Here is a 12,037-nt window from a genome sequence, read left to right on the forward strand (position 1 = left end):
AGCTTTTAGGCTTTTTACCATAGATACATGTAGTGTTTTTATGATGTGCCTGTAGTATATGTTTCTTAGTGGCTTTAACCAAAATTAGCATCTTTTTAAAAAGCAAAATTGTTATTTAATACTTAAAAACCTATTTTCTGGAGAGCGATATAATTCTGGAAGTTCCTTAACTCAAAAGTATGCTGTATTTACAATGCAGAGCATTTGCATATAATGATAAAGAATGTGAATTAGTAGGATAGTGACACTTAATATAGAACAAATACTAGCTTTCTAAAGTGTATTTCTGGTTGGGAATAAGAGCAAGCTATATGGGACATCAGTTCCCTTTCTCGATTTGGAGTCCTTGAAGGAAAACTGCTTTTAAAAGAAGGAAACCTAAAAGTAGTCTTGCTCTCTCATGCCAAGGATAGTGAAATTAACATGCAGCTGGGCTTCTCTGATAAATGGATTCTGTTAGGTCACTGAGGGGGTGCATGTGACATTAAGTGATTTACAGTCCTTTACCTTAATGAAATTGTTTCAGCAAGATGACGCTGAAAGCTCTTAATGGATAGCTTTTCTTGATCTAATGAAATTGCATTCCTATGGCATTTAATATAAGGTGCAGTTATTATTTACTGGAGCTTTCCAAGGGCTGCTATTTGCACAGACAGTTCAGAACAAAAAGATTTCAGTGGCGGCATAGAGGCGAGAATGGCTTATGACATTCGTAAGCAGATGAGTGTGTTTGTGAGGGCACTTCAGTGAGTGTGTCCAGGGTATCATAGACCCTTCAGGAAACTTCTCATCACCTACCCCAGCTACTGTCCATCCCTTCTACATATATTCTTCTAATCTTTTTAACAGGCAACTGGATTACAACCAGATCAGCTGTATTGAAGATGGGGCATTCAGGGCTCTCCGGGACCTGGAAGTGCTGTAAGTACTGCTATTTCTCTTGCTCTTTTAACGGGGGCTTTGTGTCTGGACAGGACTAATGTGGAAGCTTATCTGCTAGCTTAAAACCTTGTTGTCAAAATAGTCTCTCAAGAGATACCTTAAATAACTCATGGTGAATACAGAGAAGAGTCTAAATGTGTGTGTGCAAAACCTTGCGTACCATATCTGTATATTTAGGTAAAATTGTGTAAGGTCACTCAAATGTTCTCCTTATAAATGTTTTTATGAGATTCATAGAATTTGTCATTGCTAAATATTGAGATAAAATCAACTTTATAGGAAAAATAACATAAAAAAAAACCTCTTAGTAGCTGATATCTTGGAATAATTTGTCGTTGTTAGGCAATGGAAACACAGTTTCTCATTAAAAAAATAAATTTTTTAACCAGCTGATTTAACATTATTTTTGTAAGAATACTTTGAAATCTGCTTCCTAAGGTTAATAAGCCACCCATTAGATCCATTTTCAAGTCTTCACCACTGACTTTGTAATGTACAACACGCAGACTTGAATTATAATTGGCAACCTCCTTTCCTCCCTGGGTAGGCATGACTGACAAAATTGGTTAGAGGCAACTAAGTAACCTCTATTGACCAATGACTTAGTAATTTTAATGAAATTACAAATTTTAATGAAAACTGTGGTTACTAAAGCATTATATGCCGCCTATACATTTTTCGAATTTTTTCAGCCAAAATTCACATTTGTAGGTTTTTTAATACACTTACAATTCCTCCACCAATTAAAATATTTTTCTCTGCTTTATTTCATCCTTGAGAAAATTTAGTCAGAAATCTATAATTGAATTAAATGTTAGGGTGTTTTTAGTCAATTTATTAAAAGTTATCGAGAAATCATAAAATCCTTCCTTTTCCCCACAAAAAAGGAATTCATTACTTTATAAATCTAGTTTCAGGAATGGAATATCATTCTGAAAAATTAATCTTTCAGCTAAAATGGCTTATTTTATCAGTATTTTTATATGGTTTTGGTTTTAATTGCAAGAAAATAGAATTTCCAGCTGTGTAATGTACTGTTATTAATTATTTTAAAAGATTGTATGAATGAATTGATTGGGATAAAATGTGAAATATAAAAATATAGACTACTCTCTAACAACAGGAGAGGCCACCTTTGTTTCTATTGATAATGGTCTAAGTTTCTATCGGAAAAATATTCAAAGTGCTTATCATATACATTTTAGCTTTAAGACCACTATTTAAATTGTATACCAGAACCATTTTTAATATACGAAACTCACTGATGGTATCTCAGAGTCAGAATAATTAGAATGATTTCACAGTAGTGGTTTCATGGCAAAACCATAGTCAGTGTCACTAAAATTCATAGATGAGGAGACTACCAAATTTAATCAAACAGCTGATCAAGCCAAAAATGTATTATTAAACCAGTGTTCCTAACTAGAAATATGAATGATACCAATCATTTTATGCAAAGTTTGCTATCTTGGATGAATTAAATCCCATAAATTACCTTGTTATTAAGTTTTCAGATGTAGTTCTTCACTGTATTTATTCAATATATGTATATATACACATAAATGTATCGAATACCTACTGTGTATATTTTACAAGGTAGAGTGAACACTATGCTAGGCACTGAAATCTTTTACCCACAAATACAATAACTACATTTGATTATTTTCTATAAACTAATATCGTTGTCTTCAGAAGCAGTACGTTTATGAAAACACAATCATCTCATACATTTTGATCGTCATGATTAATCAAAATATCTAAAAAGTGACTTTAGCAAGAATGAGGCAACACACCAAAGGGTGACATTTTATGGTTCATGGAATTAAAATAGAAATCCAAAATCTTGGAAACTCTTTTGAGGACCTTAATATATACATCTTATAGAAGTATATATTGGTCAGAGTTTGTTTGTTGAAGAAATAATAAAAATTAGCATATGATAGAAGACAATGTAAATTTCTTCTAAAAAGATTGAAATATTTTATATTAAAATTTTATAAAGTTGATCAGACATTACTTTAAATGTTTTTTTTTCAATCCTCATACTTTAAACAACCCCTAGAAAAATCAGTTGATAAATAACTTAAGGCAAAATTGGAGCACTGAAAAGACGATAATTTATGAAGCCCAAATCACTTGTGAAATACAACAAAAGTTTACCTATTACAAATGTTTGGTCAAGAGCTTAAGAGAGGTTGCATGAAGAAGGGTTCTAGAAAGATGACTGTCTGTTTTGCTTATTTTTACCATTCGTGACTCTTTAGGATGTACTGTCTTATGTGGAAATAATGAAGGAACATTAACTTACACATTGCCTTAAATTTCAGATTCCAAGGGTTTTAGATTTTTTAAAATTTTAATTCCTTGAGCCATTTGTGAATGTATGACTATACTGAAGCTAGATGGGAGAAAATGAGGTAATGGCCCTTGGTCATTGATGAAAAGTATCAAATTAGGATATATATGAGCGTACAAAGAGTGAACAGAGTCCAAGAAGTCAAGTGAAAATCTAAGGTGGATGAAAGCAAGGAAGCAGTTTAACACTTGCACGTTCACGGAGAACTGGTTTATTGTCAGATTCTGATTTGTAGAACTTAGAAGTAACTGCATATTTTCTTAATATTTAGATACCATCTCAAAAATAACATTGGAAACTAAATCTTGATCAGTATTTTCCCTTCTTTGGACACTGGCCTCAGAAATGAAATATATCCCTTGAATTGCTGCTTTTACATGTTTATTTTTCTTTTTCACAGAATGAACATAATTTAGTGTAATTTAATTGTAGTGATTCATATCCACTAAATACCAAACTCTGCCAAACGATATGCATGGTGGTAAGGGAATAAGATGACTAAATCAACATACAAGTGTGAGAGGTGCTCCATGATTATACAGGCTAATATTTATACATCAAGATGTCTTTTGTATTAGAATACTCATTACAAAGAAAATCTTGAAGTTGAGCACAGAAATAGACTTACACATGGGAGAAAATGTTCACAACTAAATAATTACAATATATAAATTTCCATTATTTCAGAATGGAAGTTGACCATAACCATAACATACACAAGTAATCATACTTAACACTTATATTTATTATTAATTTTAAAAATAATTTTGTTGGTTCTGCATATTTTTCAGTCATTGAGTATCAGTATCAGTACTTCTTTCCAGCATCAGTACAGAATAAAATACTAAGATAATGTATTCCTTTAGTTGCATTATGTGAACTAACATTTTGAGAAAAGACTTCAAATTGATAACTGAAGTTTTTGGCATTCAATGAAAGTTTTCCTTTGCATGGAGATATAAGAAACTATAGTTCAAAATTAATGCATGTCTGCTCTCTGTGTAGTACTTAAAACAATTTATTCCCAAAGTCATATTTCAGAATGCTATATACTATAAAGATTTTAGCCATATTAAGTCAGCATAAATTTTGAGGATGGGAAAAGGGATCATTTGAAAGCAAATCCCATTGAGAAGTTTAACCTTTGCATTCAAACATCAGGATATATTTTAATGGCATTTGAAAAAGACATCTCATTTCACCTGCACATAGGAAAATGCTAAAAGCTCTTAGGTAAACTGAGCCAACAAATCCAGTGCTCTGTAGGTCCCCCATAAAGTGGTTTATTTTTTGTGACTTAATTCAAATGACTTAGAATAGTTCTTATATAATTCAATACATTGCAAAACAAGGTGGTAAAGAGGGTCCATGCATGATCTGGGTCTCTAGCTGACATGCCCTGTTTTACTGAAAAGTTTTTGTCAATCTCTTGACCTCTGAACGCACCATCAATAACCGCAGCCACCAACTGGCCCAGAGTGGCCTCAAAAATATATTTTGTGTAGCTCAAACATAAGCGGTCTACAGACTGTTTGAAATGTTTTAATTAGTTGCCACTATTTAAACATTAGAAAGATCTAAAAATTTTTATCTCTAGCTTCCCTTGGAAAATCTGATTGTTTGACAGCCCTCCCTTACAGCAGGTCAGTAGTCCATTGGAGCTGGAGATTATCTGCCACAAGAGAGACTATCATTGCTAGCTTACCATATTCTTCACATTCCCCAAATGTCTGCTTTCTTCCATCTCTCTTGCCCATCATTGTATATTTTTGCACGTGGCCTGCTTCGCTCATTTCTGTTCTCTGCTCAGGCCCTGCAGTGAACTTGCAACCCCTAATTCAAATCCTTGTCCAGTATCAACTTCATCCAACAGGACCACTGATGCTCTTTCTCCTACCTCCTTCAGAGGAACTTGCCTTCTTTAGTCAACACCTCAATGTGTACCTTTAGTCTCTCCCAGTCTTAGAATTGCTTTCCATGTCTACACTTTACTTGTATACCCCCCGGGATAACTTCTACCACTTTCTTATCACAACCAGATTTTTCTGAAGGGTGATGAAAGCTCATATGTTAGCCTTATTAGTTTTTGTAATTTGTCCAATCATCTCCCCAGCTGGACTGTATGCTATCTTAGGACAGAGTATATGCCTGATTTATTTTTATAATACTCCATGTTACCATAAAATAATAGCCATTTGGGAAATATTTGATGAATGAATGAGTAGTAATAGAAGTAGTAATAATCAATAATAATAATAATAAAACTAACAAAGTTGCACTGGGGGAAAAGTAAGGATGTTATTTATTTTCACAATAACTCTTCACCACACATATTCCTGGATCTGCTACCTCAAGAAAGCATGACTGCTGCCACACAGCAGTAAACAAAGGTGAATATGCTACTGCAACTAAAAACCATTAGAATGGATTAATCTTTTAACACGGTGCTACAGCAAGTTACTTCATCCCCACCTGGTGCAAGTACCAGATGTAGATATAGCTGTTTCCACTCAAATTTCAGCAGTGGCTGATGTCTGCGGTAAATAATAGTTATCAGGACTCTGTTCCAAAGCCTGACACGAATGATTCTGTATTGTTGCTATGAGAAATCAGTAAAAGAATATTAATTCAAATACGTTCATTGACTCATGGACACTAATTACACATAATGCCACTCTACGGAAATGTAATTGGGCATATTTTCCAACTGTAACTATCCCGTGTTTATTTCTTAACCAATATCCTAAATAGACATGCATGCACAAGGTACATAAAGTAGAATGTAAATAGTCAAACATGCTATGAATGAAGCCATAAATTTGTAGTAAATGTTGAATAAAACAAAATGTACAGTAATATGTTAAATTATGAAATTATTTATCAACTTGTCTATAGAGTAGTGCATTCTCTATGTCATCTCTACCAGGTAGCTGTCCTGCATAAGCATAGTACAAGACGTTTTCTCTATGTTAATATATAAAATGATCAATCAATTTTGTATCTAAAAATTCTAACTTTTCTTTTTAATTCTACAGCACTCTCAACAATAACAACATTACTAGACTTTCTGTGGCAAGTTTCAACCATATGCCTAAACTTAGGACTTTGTAAGTAGTCACAATATATGTAAAAGTCATATTAATCAATTAAAGCTTCCCCTTAAATAGCATGTTCAGTAAGCAAAGGACAGGACCACTGGTTTACAAGGTAGACAAGGAAAACCCAACTTTGGAAAAGACTAGATATGATATTTGTGGGAATGAGCTATTATTCTAGAAACTGGAAAGATTTCTTTTAACTGATATGCATTATGGAAACTTTGGAGTTAAAAAAAAACAACATTTACTTTGAGCTATTGTGGAGGTCACATTTCATTAAGAAATGGAAGACTCCTTGATTGGCTGTCAGAAATGATAAATGGGAAATCTTTATGATTTTATTACTGTACTGCAAGCAGACCTAATAAAGCTAAACTGGTTCTTCAACATTCCTTATAACGTGAAATTATAGCATCACCCTCTAGTACTTCTATAATTAAGATTGTGTCAGCATTTATATTTAAAAATATCTTTCTGGGTTACAGATGGACATTAAGATATTTTTGGTCTAATAAAGTATTGACTACAGCTGTTTCTTTTCTCTTGAAGAAAAAGTAATCCTTAAAGCCCAGAGTAGCCTTTAAAATCTTTAAAGCCCAGGGTGGACTTTAAGTTATAGAATATCAGAGGTAAATCTCATTTGAACTGAATTTCAGAATCACCTTGACCTAAAAAAATATATTACATATAACGTGTAGGACATGATTGGAAGCAAAACCAAAGCATCAAACTTCTTGAAAAAAAAGTGTTTTTAAGTTGGGTAAATATATTTTGATTAGATTTTCAAAATACTCCTCATTTTCTGATAGCTTGTAACTGGAAAATATTAATTTTATTTTCTTAATAAAAATTTTGAATTACCATCTTTTTAATGAACTAGGTAATACCAATTTTAATGTCATTTTTTTCTTACTGAAATCCAACTCTGTACATAATAACACATCATTATAATTTCCTTGGAATATTATTTAGCAAAATAAAGGAATTCTACAAGTATACAGACATAGCTAAATTTTGCATTCTTGGGGCTATCAGAATAAGACTAATCTGACAGAATTAACAGCCTAGTTCACTCAAAACTATAATTTCCCAGTAACTTCAGGTATTTTTTTTAAAAAGAAATTGATTCAAGCTTTCAATCTTTGCAAAAACAAAGCCAATGAAATTGTAAAAACATTCATCTGAATTTTTGACAGTGTCCCTTATTTTCTTGTAGAAATTCGTGAGTTTGTCTTACTAATCAGGTTTTTCCATTTTTACATTCTTTTCTCATTTCAAGTTCCTAATTGGAATTTTTATAATGTGCTTGGTTTAGACGGAAATATTTAGAGTACAAGGATATGGAATGTGCCTCTGTGGCTTCCAAAGGCCAGAACTTCAACTTCCAAGCAAACCGAGCAAGAGGTCACCCATCTTTCCCAAAATGTAGCTTTTTGTTCTGTGGTACGCCTTCTAGTTGTGAAGCAAAACATTGTGTTCCTTATCTATAAGCTCAAGGAGAATGCAAAGCAGCCATTTTACTTGAAATTCCTTTGCTTTGGTTGGGTCATTATTCTATAGTATCATTGCTACTTAAAAATTCCATTTTTATAGCCTAATTATCTTTCTGGACTGAGTTCCATGTTTTAATATCCATTACTGTTATTGGGTTAGAATTGAACACATCAGCTTAAAAGGACTAAAATGGTATTACTGTGTCATAGATGGTTCTGGGAATGGTGCTTTGATTTATAGCTTTGGATGTCCTTTTCTTTAGTTTGAGAAAACATAAAAGCCAGTTTGAAGTCATTTACCTAATTTAGTGGATACATTTGTCTGATATTTTATTAATGGAGAAGTGCTATTTGCCACTTGGAAGCAATCCATGATCTTGTGTGGATCCTGCCAACATAGAGCGACTCACTTAATTCCTTCACTCCCAGACATTTGTGCCTTTTAATTTCAGTCCCTGCTCTTTGAGGCTAGGTCTCCAGGAGCCAAAGGAGCTAATCCCTTTTCTGTGATTAAACAACAAAAGAAGGAAATGAGAATAAGGGTGTGAAAAAAGTGTTTTATATTGAATTATTATTCTGTCTTGTTCAGCAAAAAATGCAAGTGTCCTGCTGCAAAGGTTTTATAAGCGGTTTCTATAGAGACTCATAATGGCAGGAATTATTGATATTTCAAACTGGGAGCCACAACTTTTACTAACTTGCCCCTCGCCCAGTCTCCCCATTCTCCCACCCCACCCCCATTGGCTCTCAGGATGTTGGAACTGTGGAGCAATTTGCATTGGACTTATTTTTTTCTCTTTCCTCTTTTAAATGAACGTAAGTGAAATATGTTCGTTTAAAACATAATTTTATGGACATATTCAAGCTTCTATAAATTGCTCAGTTCAGACTAAATGAAGAGAGACTTGATTCTGTGATTGTACATCAGTTTAATTTTTAGGAAAAATAATTATATTGGAATCTGCTTAGCTTTATCTACTTCTATGTTAAGAAATACAGGTATATATTAATGAAATAACGACTTTCTGTTTTCTTGCTTTACACTTCTTTTTTTCTCATTTAGTCGACTGCATTCAAACAACCTGTATTGTGACTGCCACCTGGCCTGGCTCTCCGACTGGCTTCGCCAAAGGCCTCGGGTTGGTCTGTACACTCAGTGTATGGGCCCCTCCCACCTGAGAGGCCATAATGTAGCCGAGGTTCAAAAACGAGAATTTGTCTGCAGTGGTAAGGGAGAAGGAAGAGTGATGTTATTGTGTTTATTGTATCCTGTTATGTAACAGAATGTGAGGGCTGCATGCGTCAAAGGTTTCAGTATTGTTCACTAATGTTCAATTGTGCACTAATCACTCTACAGAGATCCTCTTTTTCAGTGAAAATATGTTCTGAGACCTCACTATATCGGTTGGCAAGTACTGGTTACTTGTATCTAAATTATGATAAAACACTTTTCAGTTTTCACTCCAGGGGAAAATATGGAAAATCGCTAAATGATGATTCTACTTTTGATTTTTTATTTTCCCATTAAGTAACAATTTATAGCTACTTTTATGTTAACAATTGAAAAAAAATGATTAGCTAATCCTGGATCCCTGCTATGAAATTCAAAGAGCAATTCAGCCATAGTTGCAAAGTAACAAAATACTTTTCATGCATACATGTATACTAATGGTTCAGTTTTACTTAAAACAAATATTAAATGACCAGCTTTAATAACAAACATCTAAAAACAAAAATAAGACATAGGGTCAGGCACTGTGGCCCACGCCTGTAATCCCAGCATTTTGGGAGGCAGAGGTGGGCAGATCTCCAGAGGTCAAGAGTTCCAGACCAGCCTGACCAACATGGCAAAACCCCGTCCTTTCTAAAAATACAAAAACTAGCTGGGCATGGTGGTGCATGCCTGTAATTCTAGCTACTTGGGAGGCTGAGGCAGGAGAATCACTTGAATCTGGGAGGCGGAGATTGCAGTGAGCTGAGATCACACCAGTGCACTCCAGCATGGGTGACAAGAGAGAAACTCCATTTCAAAAAATAAAAATAAAAAATAGGCCGGGGTGTGGTGGCTCACGCCTGTAATCCCAGCACTTTGGGAGGCTGAGGCGGGCGGATCACAAGGTCAGGAGATTGAGACCATCCTGGGTAACATGGTGAAACCCTGTCTCTATTAAAAATACAAAAAATTAGCCAGGCATGGTGGTGGGCGCCTGTAGTCCCAGCTACTCGGGAGGCTGAGGCAGGAGAATGGCGTGAACCCCGGAGGTGGAGCTTGCAGTGAGCCGAGATCGCGCCATTGCGCTCCAGCCTGGGCAACAGAGTGAGACTCTGTCTCAAAAAATAAATAAATCAATAAAATAAATAAATAAATAAATAAGACATAGGCTGTGTCTAATATCAATCAATAGCTAACGTTTACTGAGTTTTTTAATATGCTTAAGCACCAACCTAAGTATTTCACATATATTTACCTCACTTCACCTCCCTTATAACAACTGTATGAGAAATGTAATATTATCTCTATATTTGGAGATTCAAATGCTGTGAAAAAGAATATCCTTGCCAAAGTTTATGTAGTTGAGTCCAGGGATCTCAATAGAAGTGGTTTGATTACATATATACACACACACGTGCATGCACACACACACCCCCATACATAGTATCTTATTTGTATATGTGTATATATATGTGTGGGTGTGTGTGTATATATATATATGTATGGTTGGTTCTGCTTCAGCTTCAGAAGTATCTGTTCAAAATACAACAAAACAAAATTTTAAGAAACGTATAATGCATCGTAAGTAGTTCACAGATTTTTAAAGGCAGGGTAGGGAGACATGACTAGTACTTGATGCTATTAAATGGTTATATTTTAGACCCTTGTTTGTGTTTTTTCACATGTTTTATAACCTAAGAAAAATTTTTGTATAATATCATGGAATGTTCTCAATATGTCTGATTGCTTTTTTAAAAAATTAAATAATGAAATGACTAACAGTTCGTTACTAACCACTTTTTTCTCTCTTCACTTTTTCCTTTCTGTTTTCTAGATGAGGAAGAAGGCAAGTTCACATTTCTTTTTTAGACCGAGGATATTTTTGTAGTTTAAGAGCTTGTTTAGAGGGATAGAATTAGCAGCTGGCTTGCAGCCTCTTCCTGGCACGTCACCACCACTAGGGCCCTTTCCTGGCAGGTTGGAAAGGGCAGTCCCCACTGTCTTCCAGAAACCATGCATGTCCAGATGCTTATTTAATACAACTGTGCTGATATTCTGTTGCTCACCTTTCAACCATTAATGTCTCATTTAAAAATTGTTCCAAATATTGAGTAATAAAAGTACACACAGGAAGGGAGCTACTTATACCAAAATTTAAAATTACCCAAAGCCCCCAAAAGAATAATTTTTTATTAACAATAAGATGACTTTATACAAATTATTATTATGATTTCAGATAAATTGATAATTTTGAACCTATCAAGACATCAAATTCTGGCTTATCTAATTTTTCCCCACATTTATTGGCATATGATTATTTAATTTGAGCAACAATTATCTTCTGATGGAAGTACTACTGTTTTGTTTTCTTTTTTAAAAGAAATTACAAAGTAAATAAAGCTGCATGAATTTGATAAAGACCAAGCTCTATTTAATCTTATTAGGAATGAAGATAAATTAGTCTGAAGTTGCTGGGCTTTTGGAAATTAGAATAGTTTTGAATGTAATTCTGATTTTAAAACTGAATTTAGCTTTTCTCACAAGTTTTAAAAATTAGCAGTCTTATGACCAGTTTTTAGAATCTCATTTACTTCCTCTCATTTGCTTTATTGACCTGAATATATAAATGCATGCCTCCTAAAATATATTTTAGAAATATAGGACCATTTTATCATCATGTATTTAAAGAGATTTATTTATGTGAAATGCTTTGTTACTTGAGCTAAGTTTGTCTGTTTCACAATTATGATATTCAGGAGGAAAAATATAATTCCTGTTTATTTCTTTTTTAGGTCACCAGTCATTTATGGCTCCTTCTTGTAGTGTTTTGCACTGCCCTGCCGCCTGTACCTGTAGCAACAATATCGTAGACTGTCGTGGGAAAGGTCTCACTGAGATCCCCACAAATCTTCCAGAGACCATCACAGAAATGTAT

General features: G+C 34.1%; 1 protein-coding gene across 7 annotated transcripts in view; it reads left to right on the forward strand.

Annotated features, from left to right (window-relative positions):
* SLIT2 (slit guidance ligand 2) overlaps positions 1 to 12,037 on the forward strand; it is a 368,657-nt gene that overhangs the window by 227,962 nt on the left and 128,658 nt on the right. For 4 of the 7 annotated variants that reach the window (XM_005248211.3, XM_006713986.3, NM_001289135.3 and 1 more), the window contains exons 6-10: positions 850 to 921; positions 6,334 to 6,405; positions 8,953 to 9,116; positions 10,937 to 10,948; positions 11,895 to 12,033. In XM_005248211.3, coding sequence (XP_005248268.1) covers positions 850 to 921; positions 6,334 to 6,405; positions 8,953 to 9,116; positions 10,937 to 10,948; positions 11,895 to 12,033 — 459 coding nt within the window. The remainder of the gene's footprint in view (positions 1 to 849; positions 922 to 6,333; positions 6,406 to 8,952; positions 9,117 to 10,936; positions 10,949 to 11,894; positions 12,034 to 12,037) is intronic. The other 3 variants (NM_004787.4, NM_001289136.3, XM_017008845.2) reach the window with 1 other exon arrangement.

This window comes from Homo sapiens, chromosome 4 (genome assembly GCF_000001405.40).
Source record: "Homo sapiens chromosome 4, GRCh38.p14 Primary Assembly".
Taxonomy (NCBI): domain Eukaryota; kingdom Metazoa; phylum Chordata; class Mammalia; order Primates; family Hominidae; genus Homo; species Homo sapiens.